This window comes from Homo sapiens, chromosome 14 (assembly GCF_000001405.40).
Source record: "Homo sapiens chromosome 14, GRCh38.p14 Primary Assembly".
Lineage (NCBI taxonomy): Eukaryota > Metazoa > Chordata > Mammalia > Primates > Hominidae > Homo > Homo sapiens.
The window spans coordinates 77,046,507-77,066,217 of record NC_000014.9 but is presented as its reverse complement, the minus strand read 5'-3'; the positions used below and the strand labels follow the sequence as shown (position 1 = coordinate 77,066,217).

The 19,711-nt window shown below is 49.8% G+C and overlaps 1 long non-coding RNA gene across 1 annotated transcript in view, besides 2 other annotated features; it reads right to left on the bottom strand.

Annotated features, from left to right (window-relative positions):
- The window catches only part of LINC02288 (long intergenic non-protein coding RNA 2288), a 28,455-nt gene that overhangs the window by 3,286 nt on the left and 5,458 nt on the right, over positions 1-19,711 (bottom strand). The window contains exons 2-3 of the long non-coding RNA NR_110554.1: positions 6,490-6,680; positions 24-147 (exon numbers count right to left, since the gene is read on the bottom strand). This is a non-coding gene — a long non-coding RNA (long intergenic non-protein coding RNA 2288). The remainder of the gene's footprint in view (positions 1-23; positions 148-6,489; positions 6,681-19,711) is intronic.
- Positions 12,629-13,192: an enhancer, noted in NCBI's record as "H3K27ac-H3K4me1 hESC enhancer chr14:77519369-77519932 (GRCh37/hg19 assembly coordinates)". NCBI's record gives its function as "activates a minimal SCP1, AML or CMV promoter by ChIP-STARR-seq in primed H9 embryonic stem cells {active_cell/tissue: H9 hESC(primed)}" and the evidence as "EXISTENCE:reporter gene assay evidence [ECO:0000049][PMID:30033119]".
- Positions 12,768-12,817: a silencer, noted in NCBI's record as "silent region_5965". NCBI's record gives its function as "represses an Ori minimal core promoter by ATAC-STARR-seq in GM12878 lymphoblastoid cells {active_cell/tissue: GM12878}" and the evidence as "EXISTENCE:reporter gene assay evidence [ECO:0000049][PMID:35858748]".

Here is a 19,711-nt window from a genome sequence, read left to right as displayed (position 1 = left end):
TAGCCAGGTGTGGTGGTGCTCACCTGTAGTCCCAGCTACTCATGAGGCTGAGGCAGGAGGATTGCTTGAGCCCAGGAGGTTGAGGGTGCAGTAAGCTATGATTGTATTAGTGCACTCTAGCCTGGGCAACAGAGTGAAACCGCATCTCTAGAAGAAAGAAAAAAAAAAAAGAGGAAGTCCTATTTTTGTTGACATGAGAAAATGTCCAGAATATACAGTTATGGGGGAAAAGTTGCAAAGCAATGTGGTCAGCATGATCCCCTTCATGTAAAATCAAAGCAAAACAAAGATCTTGACATCATCCCCCTGGGTACATACATGTATTATGCATGTAAACGCCCAGAAGTCTGGGATGATTGGGGAAAACGGTGATATTGGCCGGAAATGGAATAAAAGGAATTTTTCACTTTTCTTTCTTTCTTTCTTTCTTTTTTTTTTTTTTTGAGACAGATTCTTGCTTTGTCACCTGTCACCCAGGCTGGAATGCAGTGGCAAGATAGCTCACTCCAACCTCTGCCTCCCGAGTTCAAGCGATTCTCCTGCCTCTGCCTCCCGAGTAGCTAGGATTACAGGCACGCACCAATACACCCGGGTAATTTTTGTATTTTTAGTAGAGATGGGGTTTCACCATGTTGGCCAGGCTGGTCTTGAACGCCTGACCTCAAGTTATCCACCCGCCTCGGCCTCCCAAAGTGCCGGGATTACAAGTGTGAGCCACCGCGCCTGGCTCACTTTTCTTCTCTCTTTACCTCTGTGCTCACATTTTTTCCCCAGGGAGGGAAAAAAAAATTGTGTAAAAATAAAAAAAGAAAAAGAAACTTCCCTCCTTTCTTCTTTGCCTGTTACCTAACTCCCTTATCCGTCAAATCCTTCCCCAAATTCCCAAATTCCCATTTTTTATCATCTCCTACGGAGAGCAGCTCCCTCCAAAGTTCCTTCCCATTTACTCTCCAAGAACGAGCCCTGGGCAGGAGAGCTGGACATTGCCTGGACCCACATCAAAAGGCTCCTGCTGTGCTGGAAGGGTCAAAGCATCCTAGGCCCATCCTGGCCTTGTGATCTGAGTCTGGGGCTGCGGTGGCCAGGTTGTCCAGTGGACACTGTAGAGGCAGCCTCGGGGTGAGAAGCCCCTCATGTGGACCCGCAGCAGGGGACATAAGTGGGAAGGAACCCAAAGGCTCAGGGGGAAGCAGGGGTGTCGCTACATCAAGTAAAGCTCCTTCTCGCACCTGCCAGCATGCTGGGAGGATGCTACCTCTAGCATCCTAGGGATGGCAGAAAGGGGCAAGCATGGCTCTGCCTCCTGCCTCTGTGCCTGGTGCAGGCTCCACTGTGGTGTGGGGTCTCTGGCAGTGAGGACTAGGCTACAGCCACCACTCTGGCCTGTGAATCCTAAAGGAGCCAGGGCATGACAGTCCCCACTGCCAACCTAGAGTCCCTCAAACTCTCTATCTAGCCTGGCACTGCCTCCCTCGTCCTGCCAGACCCAGGGCAACAGCTGTGACTCTCCAGGGCTGTGCTCTGAGGGAGGAGCCCTTCCATTCTAGAGATTGCATGGTTGCCAAGCCTACCAAGGGCCCAGCCTTCACTGCCCGGGGAGCCTTTGTTTTCTCCTTCCTTGTTCTAGAAGGAAGAATGGGGGCTAGGGGCACGATCATGTACTATACACCTCTTCTGAGATAGGATCCCAGCTGGTTTCCTGATACTTCAGCCCATTCACATTCCTTAACTGCCCTATAGATGAGGCTCACAGACATGGGAGTGATGGGGTGTGATTTGGCCACACAACCCAAAGATATGGAGCTGAGACCCATACCCAGGTCCTTCCATCCCAGGGGCCACTCATTCCTACAATGCCTCAGTGCAGGCTTGCTGCTCTGCAGGCTCAGAGAGGATGCTTACCCTTTACTCCTGGTGAGCAGAGAACCTAGCCACGGAAGGAAGCCCAAAGAGGGACAAGCTCCTGGGGCTCCTGGGGGCCCCCCAGCCCTCCCTGACCCTCCTCTGCGGGGGCTGCTTCCAGGGGTCTTCCTTGCTTCCCAGTCCTCTGCATGCTTCCCTGACACCTCCACTTATGGAGCTCAGACCCTGCTTGCTGGAGTCAGGTCAGCCGGGCCTTGACCCCGCCCCTCCCCTGCTTGTGGATTTAGGGGCCTTTTTGCTGGCATCACCCTGTCCCAGCCAGACCGGGAGGACCCCTTCTTCTAAGCTCTCAGCCCTTCCTGCCAACATCTTTTAGCCAAGATTCAGCGAATCAGCAAAGTCTGACGGTTAACATGGCTCCCATCCCAGCTCTGTCATCACTAGCCATGTGACCTTGAGAATGTCTCGGAACATCTGTCTCCCAGTTTTGTCATCTATAAAATGGGGATGCTAACAGCGATATTCCTAGAGCTGTTGCAAGCGTCAAACATACACATAATTGGAACAGCTCCCCGCTGTGGTTTGTGCTCTGTATATCTTTACTGTTATTGTTATCTTTTTCTTCCTCTGAGCTCCTTCCACAGGATGGGTTATTCTGCAGATCCATGACTGGAAGGAAATTAGAGTGGGCTGGATGGAAACCAGGCCGTGGGCCTGATGAAACTGCCATATGGTGCTTTGCTCAGAGCTGTATACAAGAAGAACAAGTTCATATGCCAGTTGGGTGGTGGTGGAGATTGGGGAGGGAAGTAACAAGGACAGGGCTTTGCATATGCTCTATTTTTTGCCCCCTACCTTCCCCTAAAGCCCGTGGCCTCCAATCCCCATTGTCTCCCTTTCCTTTGGGTCTCTGGGTCTCTGATCGTCTTGTGAAAAACCCCATGGAGAGGCGGGGCAGCTGGAAAGAGGAGGAAGTGAGATGGATAACCATGCTGTCTAGTGGCTGGATAACCATGCTGTCTAGTGGCTGGCGCCCTGCGTGTGCTCAGCTACTGGCAGGTTCTACTGTGGTGTTTAACAGTAACTGTGAGCAGGCTGGGTGCAGTGGCTCACGCCTGTAATCCCAGCACTTTGGGAGGCCGAGGCGGGTGGATCACGAGGTCAGGAAATCGAGACCATCCTGGCTACCACGATGAAACTCTGTCTCTACTAAAAATACAAAAAATTAGCCGGGCGTAGTGGCAGGTGCCTGTAGTCCCAGCTACTCGGGAGGCTGAGGCAGGAGAACGGCGTGAACCCAGGAGGCGGAGCTTGCAGTGAGCCGAGATGGTGCCACTGCACTCCAGCCTGGGTGACAGAGTGAGACTCCGTCTCACAAAAAAAAAAAAACAAAAAAAAACCAGTAACTGTGGGCAAAGCCAATGTGAGTCTCGCAAGCCAACTGTGGTTTGTCTTTATTTCTTTCTCTCTACAAGAGACCCTTAAAAAGAAAGTCATTCTTGATACAAAGCACTGGGAACCCTCACAGTTGGCCCTAAAAACAACCAATAGCTCCTTATCTGGCACATGTATATCTCTTTGTTTTCCCCCGCTGTGTTGCCCCTGAAAATACCATGTCTGTCCTGCTCGCCACTGAGTCCTGATGCACCAAGCATGAACTAACGATTGATCTGCACTTGTAGACAGGGTGATGGAGAAGGGATCTGCAAACTTGGGAGCTTTACCAGAGAGCTAACACCTGTGAAAGGGCCTCATACAGTGTCTAGCACATAGTAGGTACCCCATAAATGCCACTTGACTCTGAGTCTGGGGGGCTGTTTGGTTGTCACCAATTTTGATGTATTTCTGGGCTAACATGTCCAGCAAGCAGGTGTGACCACACCCAGCCTGTTCAGGCTTAGCCAAAGAACTAGCAGCCAGTCCTTCCTGTGCAATGAGCCCAGCTCCAGCAGCTCACGTTGACTCCACCCAACCAGCTCTCTCAGCGGGTGATACCTGCCTTCTGCTGCGCAGGGTCTTTAATGCAATGTGTCTGTTTCAGGGTTGCCTCCTGAGGAGGGTAGAAGCCACCTCTAGCAACCCTCTGCTCAGCAGATAATGTCCCTTGCTAGCACCGATCCAAGGGGAAACAGGACCCACAGGCCCTTTGCAAAGGCTTCTTGAGGATAAGGAGGTGTTTCCCTCTGGGGTTCCTCTCTCGGCATTGAGGACTAAGGCATTTTCACAGCAACAGAATTCACTGTCTGACTAGTGCTTCCTGGAAGTCAAAACATGGTCAAGATCAGGTGACCAGGGGCCTCTAGAAGCCTTTGTCATAGTCATCTCCATGCTTTTACGTAACTTGGCCAGCCTGGACACACAGGTGACCTGCTACTCCTTGAGGGTTCTTAGGGCAGAGGAACCTCTGGCCAGGCCTCCTGGTGACTGGAAATGATGCGTGCTGAACTGCTGAGCATGCCTGCAAGGCCAGTGTAAACCACCATCCAGCCCCACCCCCACTCCCGCCCCACCTGCAGGCCCCCCTTGGGTACTCTAATGTGCCTGCGCCTGCCCACCTCGGGGCCTTTGTTACACAAAGACTTGCAAGCAGTGGTTCTGAAACTCGAACATGCATCGGAAGCCCCTGGTACGCTCATTCACGGATTCTGGGCCTCTTCCGCAGAGTTCCCAATTCAGTGGGTCTGGGGTGGGGCCTGACAGTTTGCCTTTCTTACAAATTTCTTTGCTGAAGTGGCTCACACCTGTAATCCCAGCACTTTGGGAAGCTGAAGCAGGAGAATTGCTTGAGCCCAGGAGTTTCAGACCAGCCTGGAAAACATGACAACACCTGTCTCTACAAAAAATAAAAAAATTAGGCCAGGCGTGGTGGCTCACACCAGTAATCCCAGCACTTTGGGAGGCTGAGGTGGGTGGATCACCTGAGGTCAGAAGTTCAAGACCAGCCTGGTCAACATGGTGAAACCCCGTCTCTACTAAATATACAAAAATTAGCCGGGTGTGGTGGCTGGAGCCTGTAGTGCCAGCTACTCAGGAGGCTGAGGCAGGAGAATTGCTTGAACCCGGGAGGCAGAGGTTGCAGTGAGCCGAGATCATGCCATTGTGCCCTAGCCTGGGGCAACAAGAGTGAAACTTCGTTCCAAAAAAAAAAAAAAAAAAAATTAGCTGGGTGTGGTGGTGTGCACCTGTAGTCCCAACTACTTGGGAGGTGGGAGGATCACTTGAGCCCAGGAGGTTGCAGTGAGCTATGTTTGCACCACTGCACTCCAACCTGGAAAACAAAGTGAGACCCTGTCTCTAAAAAAAAAAAATTTAAACCAGATTCCTTGGTGATTCTTATGCTGCTAGGCCAGGGGCCACATTATGAGAACCACCAGTATAAGCTATTTCTTCATTTGTCACTTCCTCGGGGAACCCTTCCTTGACCTCACCAAACAGATGAGGTTCTCGTACTAGGTGCTTTCATGGGATCCAATACTTCTCCTTCATGTCACTTATCACATTTTGCATTTACTATAAATTTATAAAAATGTTAAATTGATGTCAGTCTCCCTCTTAAGCCTATGTCTGTTTTACATACCTTTGTCTCCCTGGTACCTAGTATGGCGCCTTGTACATAGTAGATGCTCAACAAATCACTGCTGTATGAATGAATGAATGAGTGAGTGAATGAGTGAATACATGCAAAAGACATTCAGAGGCTTTCCTATGGTCACTATCAGCTCAGGCAACCCTGAGCACTAGGAGAGCATGGCTACTGGAACCAGATTCTCTGGGTTCAAATCCAGTTGGTTATTACTAGCTGTGTGACCTTGAATTGGCTACTTAATCTCTCCACGTGTCACCATTCTTGTCTGCAAAATGGTAATGTTACTAGTACCTGTGAGTAGTTCATAGGGTTGTACGAGGATTAAATGAGCTAATTTGTCTAGAGGGCTTCCTTTTCTGCCTACCACATGTGAAATACTATCCAAGGTGATGGCTTAATTGTTACCAAAGTGCCTGGCACGGAGGCCCCGCTTGCTTTATTTTAATAAGACCCTGGGCCAGGAACGGTGGATCACACCTGTAAGCCCAGTATTTTGGGAGACTGAGGCAGGTGGATCACCTGAGGTGAGGAGTTTGAGACTAGCCTGGCCAACATGGAGAAACCCCGTCTCTACTAAAAATACAAAAATTAGCTGGGCGTGGTGGTGCATGCCTGTAGTCCCAGCTACTTGGGAGGCTGAGGGAGGAGAATTGCATGAATGCAGGAGGCGGAAGTTGCAGTGAGCCGAGATCGCGCCACTGCACTCCAGCCTGGGCGAAAGAGCAAGGGTCTGTCTCAAAACAAAACAAAACGAAACAAAACAAAAAAACAAAGGCTCTGTCTAGGGATCAGCTTCTGGAGCATTTCCTCTGGTCGACTTGGGCAAGACCTAGACACAAGGAAGTAGCCCAGATTTGGGTTTGGATGAACTTTCCCAGAGTGCTCCATCCCCACCTACCAGGCCTCCATGATGGTCACACACAGTGCATGTTGGGCGGTGGAGGGCCTGGCTCCCGCTCCTCCAGCTGCTCCCCACGTGGATGGAGCTGGTGTTTCTGGCCTTCCCTTACCACCACCGGCCTGGTTTGGAGCTGACTCACCGCCAGGAGGGGGTGGTGATTAGTATGCAGGGCGAGTACTGGGAGGAAAGCTGTCTCCACGCAACAACTCTTGATGTGTTTCTCTGATTAATGTGGCAGAGAGAACATTGCAGCTTTTTCCTGAATGGTCGCCACGTGGAGCCGGAGTCATTAGCATTGTGTCTCCTGCTTGCCATGACCCGCTGACCAACCTAAGTAGATAAAAATGAAAATGGCCAAGACAGCTGCAAGGCTCAGAAACAAACTGCCTGGTGGCTTTGCAGCCATGGGAGAGTCTTTTATGTGGAAGGTTTCTGGAACAGCCCTGCCTTCTCCATCCTTTCACACGCCTCCAAAGCCATCCCTAAAGTTTTTGCTTCTGTATCTGCTGGTTCCTAGGGAGGTCAGAATTCCTTTCTCAGGAGTGGAGCCCAAGTGGGGGCACCTGTATTAAAACCTCCCCCAAGGGTGTGTGCTCCAAGCCAAAAGAGTGTGGGAGGAGGGGACAGGGGCTTTAGGGGGAGGGATCAGATTGGGCAAAGGACAGGAGATAAGGGAGCCAGGACAAGGAGGGGTCTGTGATGGATCAACCAGGCTAGGGCAAAAGAGGGCACGAGAAGACCTGAACTGAGAGCAACAGGGAGTTCGTTGTGCAGGCTGGACAGGAGGATAGATTGGGGGCCCAGTCTGGAAGTGGGGAGAACCATGAGGAAGCCGTTTTCATAATCCAGCAGGGAGTACACCTGCACATTCCTCAGTACGCTTCCTCCCCACCCCGGGGAGCTCTGTGCATCTATGTGCAATCTCTGGAGGCTAAAAGCTTGTGTTGCTCAAGGAAACTGACACAACCAGTGGCGACCTGACAGCTTCCCGAGGATAGGAGTGATGGTCGGGGTGCTCCTTCTATAGCTCTGCTTCCTCCTGGGCTCTTTGGGCTTGGACCCGTGTGGCCATGTTGCCCTGAATTATTGCTTTTGGATGTTTTTTTTTTTTCTAATTTGCCATATTCCTTCTCTGGTTCTCAGTTTCCCCATCCATGCAATGAGGGTGGGTCAATGGTGCCTGAGCTTGCTGGGAAGCAGGATAAGACACAAAGGCAGCACCAGACATCAGGAAGCTAGAGTTCAAGCCGGCACCACTCCCCCGCATTGTGCCTCTGCCACCGACCCCACACCACCATCCCCACTCTATTTGGGTGGTGGTCTTCAAGACAGCCCCACGGCTTCCCCTTGCCAGAAAGCAGGCTTCTGCATTTGGCCTGAGCTGGAAGGGAATGAGCAATGGTGCTAATTGTGAAGCCGACAGGAGAGGCTGGGGGTAGGCAGCCGAGAGAGAAATCATCTTGTGATACGCCAATTACTGATCAGCTGGGACATAATTGCGGGCCTGCCATCCCGGCTGCTGGAGGTACCAGGCCTCCCTCACGTTAATCAATGATAATCCAGAATTACGACCCTTAATGATTTGCAAAGACACTTATGCACACACGCACACATGCTCTCATACGAACACAAGTAATTGATAATCAACCATGTAATCTGAGGCAATAATTCTGTCTGGGATAGATGACAGGCTCCACCTTGTCAGCAGAACAGAGCCCAAATCACAGCAGACCCCTGCAATGGGTGGAAGATTCTCCGGGGGAGGGGGCTTCTTTCCTCCTCCAGTGTAGGTATTGAAGGGACCTCCGATTGTCTCTAGGCCGTGGTATATGGTGGTTTTTGTTTCCTATTTTTATTTATCTATATTTTCTGAATTTTGTACGTTATTATTAGCAGCATTTAAAAACATCATTGGCCAGGCATGGTGGCTCATGCCTGTAATCCCAACACTTTGGGAGGCTGAGGTGGGCAGATCACGTGAGTCCAGGAGTTTGAGATCAGCCTGGGCAATAGAGTGAAACACCATCTCTACAAAAAATTAGCCAGACATGGTGGCACATGCCTGTGGTCCCGGCTACTCATGAGGCTGAGGTGGGAGGATCACTTGAGCCCAAAAGGAGGAGGATGCAGTGAGCCATGATCACAGCACTGCACTCCAGCCCGGGCAAGGAAGTGAGACCCTGTCTCCATAAAAGATAATAAAAAATAAAATGCATATATACTGAAGTAAAAATTATATAACTACTACATGCACAAAAAGACATCTACAAGGATTTCAAGACAGCATTTTAGTAATAGCCAAAAACTGAAAACAACCTAAAGGTTCGTCAAGAGGGAAATGGTTAATGGTGTTCCATTTCTACCATAGAATACTATGCAAGAGTTAAAAAGAATGAGGCTGGCCGGGCGCGGTGGCTCATGCCTGTAATCCCAGCACTTTGGGAGGCCGAGGAGGGCGGATCACGAGGTCAGGAGATCAAGACCATCCTGGCTAACACGGTGAAACCCCGTCTCTACTAAAAATACAAAAATTAGCCGGGCGTGGTGGCATGCACCTGTAGTCCCAGCTGCTGGGGAGGCTAAGGCAGAAGAATGGCGTGAACCCGGGAGGCGGAGATTGCAGTGGGCAGAGATCGCGCCACTGCACTCCAGCCTGGGTGACAGAGCAAGACTCTGTCTCCAAAAAAAAAAAACAAGAATGAGGCAGACCTTCGTGTACTGAGAAAGGGCACAGAGTGCAAGAGGGCCATTCTCTGGGTCACAGAGGATCCTGCTTGCCTCACCCTGCTCCTGACCCTGCCAGGATATATGGATAGGTGAAAGAAGCAAGTCAAAGAACAACAAAGCCTGGGCAACATAGGGAGACCCCATCTCTACTAAATAAATAAATACATAAATAAGCCTGGTGCTATGGAGCACACCTGTGGTCTCAGCTACTCGGGCTGAGGCAGGAGGACTGTGTAAGCCCAGGAGATCGAAGCCGCAGTGAGCTGTCATCGTGCCACTGCGCTCCAGCCTGGGCAACAGAGTGAGACCCTGTCTCACAAAAAATTAAATTAAATTAAAAACAAAAATAAAGGCCGGGCATGGTGGCTCACGCCTGTAATCCCAGCACTTTGGGAGGCTGAGGGAGGTGGATCACCTGAGGTGGAGAGTTTGAGACCAGCCTGGCCAACATGGTAAAATCCTATCTCTACTAAAACTATAAAAATTAGCTGGGTGTGGTGGCGGGCACCTGTAATCCCAGCTACTCGGGAGGCTGAGGCAGGAAAATCACTTGAACCCAGGAGGCGGATGTTGCAGTGAGCCAAGATCGTGCCACTGCACTCCAGCCTAGGTGATAAAGCAAGATTCTGTCTCAAAAAAACAAAACAAACAAATAAAAACATCATTGCCATTGCTATATTGGATTGGGCAAAGGATGGGAGAAGAGGGAGCCAGAGCAAGGAGTGCTTGTGATGGAGCAGCCAGGCTGCAAAACATCATTGCCATTGAATCTGGGCTGATCTGGTGTCTTGCTTGGGGCAGTAGAAGTGGTGGAAGTGACACTGTCCCAACTTCAGGGCTAGTCCCTAAGTCTGGCAGCTTCTGCTTTCATTCCCTTGGATGAAATATAATTCCCAGCTGCCATGTAATTAATCCAGTTGACCTGAAACCACCATGCTGACCACGTGGAGAGGCCATGCAGAGGAGCGCTGAGGTGCCAGGCCTGTAAGTGACGCCTTCTTGGCCCTTCCCTCCCAGTCCAGCTGCCAGCTGAATGCAGCTGAGTGACCCCAGCTGACACCACATGGAGCAGAAGAACCACCCAGCCAAGCCCTGCCCAAATTCCTGACTCACAAAATCATGAGAAATAATAAATTGCTGTTTTAAGCCACTAATTTTTATTTACTTTTTCCTTTTTTATTTTTTATTTATTTATTTTTTTTTGAGATGGAGTCTTGCTCTGTCTTCCAGGCTAGAGTGCAGTGGCGCAATCTTGGCTCACTGCAACCTCCACTTCCCAGGTTCAAGTGATTTTCCTACCTCAGCCCCAAGAAGCTGGGACTAGAGGCCCTGCCACCACATCTGGCTAATTTTTGTATTTTTAGTAGAGATGGGGTTTCACCATATTAGCCAGGCTGGTCTTGAACTCCTGACCTCAGGTGATCCGCCCGCCTCGGCCTCCCAAAGTGCTGGGATTGTAGGCGTGAGCCACTGTGCCTGGCCTTAAGCCACTAATTTTTGAAAGTCAATTGTTATGATCTTGTTCTGATACACACAAGATCAGGAAGCGTGACAGGCCTCAATTTCCTGATCTGTAAAATGAGAGTTAAATGAGATCATGCATCTAAAACCCCATGCCTGGGGCCTGGCACCTTGCCTGTGCTTCACTGAGAATCTATGATTCTCAGCCAAACAATGCCACGATTCTGTACCCATGCTCTGCCCTGACTGAGTGATGGCCACGCAGACCGTGTTGTTCCAGGTCCTCAGATGAACAGCCATCATTCTCCTCTAATGGAAATGGCCTGTCACCATGGCAGCACCCTGGCTAAGAGCAGTGGCTTCTAAACCAGATAAGCATGGATGTAAGCCCTTCTCTGTCGGTTTCTAGCTTTGTGACCTTAGGCAAGTTATTGACTGTCTCTGAGTCTTGGTTTCTTCACCTGAAAAGAGAAGAAGTCAGCCAACCTCCCTCTCCAGGAAATCTACCCTGATTAGCCTCTCCCCACCATATTTCTCTAAATAGAGCTTTGTCATGGCTTGTTTACAAGACAGGTATTAGTTTCAAAACTTTAAGAAAAGGGATGAAATTAACTATATTGGTTGGAAAAGGGGATTGGGGGACCCCTGACCATAATTTATTAATAATAGAGCCCAACACCTCCTGCCTCTTCCCATCGCCTCTCTCCTTGTTCCCACTAGGACAGCCTCTCTGACCATGCTTCAGTATCTTTGAGTTTGCCATTTCTTCTGCCTGGAACCCTCTTCTACCAAATAGCTTCATAGCTCACTCTCTCATCTCCTTTTGGTCTTTATTTAAATGTTACTTTTTCAATGAGACGTTCCCTGACCACCCCATTTAAAATCCCCCACTCATTTTGGGGCACCCTCTTTTTTGCTTTAGTTTTCTCCATAACACATATTACCCTCAAACATCATGTTTATGTTACTTGCTTATTTACTTTTCTATCCCAGACTCCCCCCTGCCCCCCCCACACAAATGTATGCTCCAGTGGGGCAGGATTTTGTGTTTGTGTTTGTCTATTTTGTTTACTAATATTGCCCTAGTACCTGGCTATAGCTCAAAGTTTGCTATATGAGTGTGTACAAAAGCACACGCACCCATACATATCCTGAGCGTGGGGTGAAACTGTGGACATCTTGAAAGAATAAGCTGGACCCGACTTGGGTTGTGTGTTGATAGGGGTGTTAAAGCATTCCTCCAGCATCAACTGGCTTCCAATCCTCACCTTTGCTGTGTGTGTGTGTGTGTGTGTGTGTGTGTGTGTGTGTGTGTGTGTAATGAAGGCCATGGGGAGTAGAAAATTGGATGTTAATAAAAAGTCATCAAGAACATATTTCCTATCCTCTTCTAGCCCTTAAAGCCCTACCAACCATGAAGGATTTGCCCAGTGGTCTGGGGGAGAACAGGAATCCGGGCAGGCGATGGTTCCTACCAGGTTGGCACTGAGGCTAACCAGTCCAATTAATTTAAGGAGAAATACCCATGTGTCACCTGGAGAGAAAGTTGCAGGGTAACTGCACGATCCTCCCACATCCACTCTGATGACCTCTCATTAGAGGTTAGGGCTCTATCATTGCCCTGGAGCAGAATGGCTTGGGGCGGGGGTCTTCCGGGGTTCCTGGTAGATGGAGAGCCTGGGGAGATTGGCATGACAGGGTCCCTTCAGAATGAACCAAATGAATGACAGCCCAGGCTCAAAGGGATGAGGTTTCCTTTGAGAAGAGATGGCTGTTGGTGGTGACTGTTAGTTCCTACTAATGACAGCGACCTTGAAATCCATACCCAGGGTCTCTACCCTCTGGTTTGAGGGGAAGGAGTAGAGAAGTCTTCCATGCTACAGATGAGAACCTGAAGCTCTGAGGGATTATGTTCTCTGTCTAAGATTACCGCAAGTCCACGATGCCAGGACCTTTGTTCATTGCTATATCCCGATGCAGAACCATTTCTGTTGAATGAATGAACATTCAAGCAGATATTGATAGTCTCTGGGCTTGAACCCATGCGTGGTCGACACCAAAACTAGTTGGCTCCAAAAACCTAGCTTATCTTTCACTCATTTTGCATCCCTCCCAAAGCCTGGCGGGGTACCTGACACCTGGGGGGTGATCTGTGAATATTGGGTCAATTGACCCGGCAGCAGCAGGTGGTGCTAACACGAACCACCTGAAGACCCCCAGCGGACAGGCGGGACCTCTGCTCGCAGCCAGCAGGGGGCGCGCACACATTGTTTTCCAGTGGGCTCACCTCCCCAGGCCCCCTTTGCAATCCTGTCCCGACGAGTGGTGTATTAGACAGAAAGGGCCCTCCCTCAACCAGCCTGTTTTATGTCAGGAGGCTTCAAATTATGCGGTCTTCCCCAGCAGGCAGCCCTCTGGGACGTGTGGCTCCTACACCAGGCGCTGTGCTAGGCCCTTGACACGCATTATCTCATTTCATCATCTGAGGTACTGATATCAATTTTACAAATGAGACTACTAAAGTGCTATTTTTACCCATTTTACAAATGAGAATACTGAGGCTTGGGGTTGTTCAGGGACTCGTACCCCTCTACCCTTGAGGCCTCGCCTCTTTGGGGTGGTGGGACCCTAACAAGTCCTGGCAGAGGCCTGAGCTTCTGGAGAGGGCCAGATGGGAAAGACCACTTCTCAGAAGAGGAATGGCTCCTGCCCGGGTTCTTCTCCAGTTCCTGCCTCCTCATGGTTTGTCACTGTTTCCCAGAGCTCTGGGCAGACACCTTGGGCAGGCCTGCCAGCTCCATGCTGTGCCACAGGGCAGCCAGGGACACTCCCTCCTGGTGTCAATTCCAGACACCTGGCACACACTGGGGAGTGTCCTGGGTGGTGTTGGTGGTGGTGGGAGGAGAGAAGGCTTCCTAGCATGTCACAGTAGGGCCAACTAGCCCACCCTCTTTGCCATTTTACATGCAAGGAAACTGGCCCAAAGGGGAGGCCCCTGGCCCAGGGGCTTGTCACGGCAGAGCCAGGGCTGGAACCCAGCTCTCTGGATTGCCAGTCTTTCTTCAGGCGCTAGCAGATCATGTTCTCTGAGGCCTGGAATTGCCTCCTTCCTCACATCCACCTCTCTCCCCACCCCTGCCATGTGCCATGAGCAATCCTGCCCATGCTGCCCTAGGCCCGGCTCCCTGCCCCTCTTCCGGGGAGCCTTTGCCATCCTGAGTTAGAACCACTTGTTCTCTTTAGTCTGTAGCAAGTGTGTCTGTCTGTTCCTGGGTGACTCGCCCCATCTCCGCAGCTGATCTCTGAAACAAGTGCCAAGGGGTAGGACAGTACAATGGACGAGGCACTGGGCTTGACTTTGAACCTGAGTGGGCCTCCAACTTGCTGTGTGACTGAGGGAGGTCATTTCACCTCTCTGGGCTTCTATATCCCCCCCTGGTCTGGGTCAGGGTTGTTTGGATGTTATCCATGGAGTCTCTGACTCAAGGCAGAGTGGACAGGACCCTATCCCTGCCCTAGATTAAACTGCAGCAGTCTTTTTTTCTTTCTTAAATACTTGGGCTTTGGAGTTCTGAGGCACCCAAGTTTAAAGGCCATTCTGAGGTCCTTTCTACTCTGATCTTGCTCTCGGTATCTCTCACCCCACCCCACCATTAGCCAGGAGGAATATGGCATCTTACATAAAGTATTCTCAATAAAGATTTGGTGAACAGACTTGAGCGTCAGTGGCCAGGCGCGGTGACTTATGCCTGTAATCCCAGCACTTTGGGAGGCTGAGGTGGGTGGATCACCTGAGGTCGGGAGTTTGAGACCAGCCTGGCCAACATGGTGAAACCCCGTCTCTACTAAAATTATAAAATTAGCCGGGCGTGGTGGTGCATGCCTGTAGTCCCAGCTACTTGGGAGGCTGAGGCAGGAGAATCACTTGAACCCGGGAGGCAGAGGTTGCAGTGAGATGAGATCACGCCACTTCACTCCAGCCTGGGCGAAAGAGCGAAACTCTGTTGCCAAAAAAAAAAAAAAAAAAAAAAAAGAATTGAGCATCGAAGCAGGGCTGTGCTGAACCCAGCTCAACAGGGGAGGGGCAAGCAGGAAAGGAGACCCTGGAACAAGCTTCTAAGGTGAAGGCGGCCTTTGAGAAGGCAGCTGAGGCTGCCTTGAGTTTGTGGCTTCTGCTCCCCATCTCTTCCACGTTCCTTCCTGACTCGTCCCTGAAGTGAGCCACCGCCTCTCCCACGCCCTGCTGTGGGTGCCACAATGTCCTTGCACAAACCCTGCCCTGTCCCCTGCTGCCAGGGCCGCCCACACAGCTGGACGGACATGAGTCTGGCAGACACTGGTGTGGCTGAGCTCTCCTGGAACGAGGTTCGAAAGGGCTGTGGGGCTGGCAGGGAGCAACACTCCATGGCCTGGTCAGCTGGCCAAAAGCCAGGCAGCCCCCAGAGGCAGCCCCACCCGAGCTGGAGAGGTCTGCTGGGCTTCTCTGGGTCTCTCAGGGAGGACGGACTTGGTGTGCTTTTGGCAAGTCAAAGGCCCTGCTTTACGTTGTGTGGGTATGATGGTTCTGCTTTCAAATCTTGGCTCCTCCTGGAGCTACAAATTATACGCTAAAGTCTGGGCTCAGTGGTTCATTCCTGTAATCCCAGCACTTTGGGAGGATGAGGAGGGTGGATCACTTGAGGCCAGGAGTTCGAGACCAGCCTGGCCAACATAGCAAAATCTCGTCTCTACTAAAAATACAAAAATTAGCCGGATGGTGTCACACGCCTGTAATCCCAGATACTTGGGAGTCTGAGGCACAACATCGCTTGAGCCTGGGAGGTGGAAGTTGCAGTGAGCAGAGATCGTGCCACTACACTCCAGCCTGAGTGACAGAGCAAGACTCTGTCTCAAAAAAAAAAAAAAAAAAAAAAAAGTACACTCTTGCCTTTATCCTGTAGCAGGGCTTCCATGCCCCAGGGTAATTAAGGACCACCCTAATTGTACAAGCGTGGCCACTTACAATTAGAAAAGCCTGTATATGCAATGTCTAATTCTGAGCCGGGTAAGAAAAGGCATTAGAAGTAAAAAGGAGAACCATTGTTACAGCCCCAAGAAGTTCCATTAGGACATTTACTAACATAATGTTTGAATTTCATCGTCATTGTCATCTTCATCGTTCTAGCACCCACCCACTTCTGAACTGCTCTAACCTTTATTACCATCTGCCATGTTCTCTGGACCACTCTTCATAGTCATTCGTGCATTCATCCCAGAACATCTCAGCAGGAGAGTCTTCAATCTTTGAGAACCTACTATGTGCCAGACCCTGTCAGGCACTTTTTCAATTTTTTTTTTTTTTTTTTTAGACAGAGTTTTCCTCTTGTTGCCCAGGCTGGAGTGCAATGGCGTGGTCTCTGCTCACTGCAACCTCTGCCTCCCAGGTTCAAGTGATTCTCCTGCCTCAGCCTCCCAAGTAGCTGGGATTACTGGTGCCCATCAGCATGCCCAGCTAATTTTTATATTTTTAGTAGAGACGGGGTTTCACCATGTTGGCCAGGCTGGCCTAGAACTCCCGACCTCAGGTGATCCACCCGCCTCAGCCTCCCAAAGTGCTGGGATTATAGGCATGAGCTACCTCGCCTGGCCAATTTTACTTTATTTAGTCATCACAGCAACCCTGCGAAGTTGATTGTTAGGATGCTTTTGGCTGCAAGTCACAGAAACCTTGGTTCCACTGGATCGAGCCAGGGGTCCCTCACTGAACAATGAAGGAATTGATGGAAATAGTCCAGATGTGGGTGGCTCCAGGGCAGAGTAATCCAGCTGCTGAACTGTGCCACCAGACTAATGTTCTTTCCACATTTCCTTCCATTCTATCATCTCTCTTTTTTTTTTTTTTTTTTTTTTTTTTTTTTGAGACGGAGTCTCGCTCTGTTGCCTACGTTGGAGTGCAGTAGCGCGATCTCCGCTCACTGCAAGCTCCGCCTTCCGGGTTCACGCCATTCTCCTGCCTCGGCCTCAGCTGGGACTACAGGGGCCCGCCACCATGCCCGGCTAATTTTTTGTATTTTTAGTAGAGACGGGGTTTCACCATGTTAGCCAGGATGGTCTCGATATCCTGACCTCGTGATCTGCCCACCTCGGCCTCCCAAAGTGCTGGGATTACAGGCGTGAGCCACCGCACCCGGCCTCCATTCTATCATCTTTAGTGTGTTGACTTAGTTCTCTGAATGGCTGCCTTCATCATAGCAAGATGGCTGCTGTAGCCCCAGCCATCATCACTGCAGACACACATACAGCTACAGAAAGACAATTGTTTGGCTGGGCGCGGTGGCTCATGCCTGTAATCCCACCATTTTGGGAGGCCGAGGTGGGTGGATTACCTGAGGTCGGGAATTCGAGACCAGCCTGGCCAACATGGTAAAACCCTGTCTCTACTAAAAATACAAAAATTAGCTGGGCATGGTGGCAGGCGCCTGTAATCCCAGCTACTTGGGAGGCTGAGGCAGAAGAATCGCTTGAGCCCCAGAGGTGGAGGTTGCAGTGAGCTGAGATCCCGCCACTTCACTCCAGCCTGGGTGACAGAGTGAGACTGTGTCTCAAAAAAAAAAAAAAAAAAAAAAAAAAAAAAAGAAAGAAAGACAATTGTTTCTCTCTCTCTCATGTTTTAAGATTGAGAAAATATGGCCAGGCGCGGTGGCTCACGCCTGTAATCCCAGCACTTTGGGAGGCCGAAGCGGGCGGATCACGAGGTCAGCAGATCGAGACCATCCTGGCTAACACGGCGAAACACCGTCTCTACTAAAAATACAAAAAATTAGCCGGGCGTGGTGGCGGGCGCCTGTCGTCCCAGCTACTCGGGAGGCTGAGGCAGGAGAACCGCGTGAACCCGGGAGGCAGTGCTTGCAGTGAGCGGAGATCGCGCCACTGCACTCCAGCCTGGGCGGCAGAGCAAGACTCCGTCTCAAAAAAAAAAAAAAAGAAAAAAAAAAAAAGATTGAGAAAATATGAAAATATTTCCTAAAACAAGCCCCCAACTCCCATGTCTTATTCACCAGAACTCGGTCACAGATCCATCCCCAAAGTGTTAGCAAGGGGGATGGGATGCTAAGATTAGCTCAGACTAATTGGGATTTCCCCCCAAGGCACGTGGAACTGAGGGGTGTGGGACTCCTGAAACAAATTCAGGGCACTAAGGAAGAAAGCAGGAGTGACTACTTTTTAGCAATCAACAGTGTCTGCCTCATGGGTAATTAATGTTATCTTCATTTTACAGGTGGGAAAACTGAGGCTGAGATAAAGTAATGACTTAATGGCACAGTAAGAGACCAAGTTACGATTTCAACCCAGAAATACTTGATTCCAAAGCCCCAACTCTACTGCATGATATACTAAGCACTATTATATCTCTACTTCTGAGTAGAATGCTCCAAGATTTTGCTGGGACAGGAAGGGTATAAATAGTACATACATACATACACTTCCATATTATTTTGGTGACAATAAAATTACGTCATAAAAATGTATATTTAGGCATGTTTAATTGACTAGCCTTTATTTAGGGGCTTCTAGAGGCATTCGGGATAGAATGGCCCCAGCATTGAACTTCATTGAGTCCCCAGTGAGGCAGTGTGAACAGATAACTACAACTTTTTTTTTTTTTTTTTTTTTGAGACAGAATCTCACTCTTTCTCCCAGGCTGGGGTGAAATAGTGCGATCTCAGCTCACTGCAACCTCCGCCCCGGGGTTCAAGCGATTCTCCTGCCTCTGCCTCCCGAGTAGCTGGAATTACAGGCGCCCCACACCCGGCTAATTTTTGTATTTTTAGTAGAGACGGGGTTTCACCATGTCGGCCAGGCTGGTCTCGAACTCTTGACCTCAGGTGATCCATCTGCCTCAGCCTCCCAAAGTGCTAGGATTACAGGCGTGAGCCACCACGCCCAGCCAACTACAACTCTTTGTGATAAATGCAGATTGCAATTGAAGCACAGAGCTGGGAAATGCCAGAGACTATTTTCACAGGAAAGGTAAAAACTGAGCTGGGTTTTGAAGGATGCATAGAAGTTTGCTCAAAAAACAAGAGGGAGAAAACATTCTTTGTAGGTAGAGAAAAGAGCCCCGTAAAGGCACGGGGCTTCAAAGTTCATATTGTGTTTAAGGAACAAGAGGAATTCAATGTGGTTAGAAATTAAGAAAAAGGAAGAGGCAAAAAGAGGAATTGGAGGCAATTTCCCAGAGGCCTTGTGTTCCAAGCTAAGGAGTTTGTCTTGATCCTGTAAGGCGCCTGGAAAATTTTTATTTATTTATTTTTATTTTTTATTTTTTTGAGATGGAGTCTCGCTCGGTCGCCCAGGCTGGAGTGCAGTGGTGCGATCTCGGCTCACTGCAACCTCTGTCACCTGGGTTCAAGCGATTCTCCTGCTTCAGCCTCCTGAGAGGCTGAAATTACAGGTGCGCACCACCACGCCCAGCTAATTTTTGTATTTTTAGTAGAGACGGGGTTTCACCGTGTTGGTCAGGCTGGTCTCAAACTCCTGACCTCGTGATCCACCCTCCTTAGCCTCCCAAAGTGCTAGGATTACAGGCGTGAGCCACCACACCCTGCCTTAAAGCAATGTTGTAAGGCAGGTTTAGGCTAAATTACATGAAATTGCCAATATTTGATGTGTCTAACAATGAAAACAGATGAGGAAGCCTGGAGGTGCAGAAACTTGGCACAGGTCACAAAGTCTCATGAGTCAAGAATCAAACCCAGATCTGTCTGATAAGGCCTCTAGAGTCAGGCAACCCTGAGTTCAAACTTCAGCCAACACTTACTAGCTGTGTGTCCTAAGATAACGTTATTTAACCTTTCTGAGTTTCAGTTGCTTCATCTATAAAATGGGGACGATAACTGAATCCACTTCATTAAGTGTGGATTAGAAGAGATAATGCATTGAAACAGCCAGCACAATGTCCAACACATAAGAGGTGCCCAATAAATGTCAGCCTTGCCTATCATCATTGCTATTAATATCCTAAAGTCTGGGCTGTTAAGCACCTTCCCAACCTGCTGTAGGAAAGATGCTTTCCGGAGTCGGTATGTCCCTGGGTAGAAAGGAAGGAGATTTTACTGCCAGAACCACGACAGTGCTGCTGGTAACAGTCTTCAAACTAACGGGGCGAGGAGAGCTGGGAGCTGTGTCCTCTA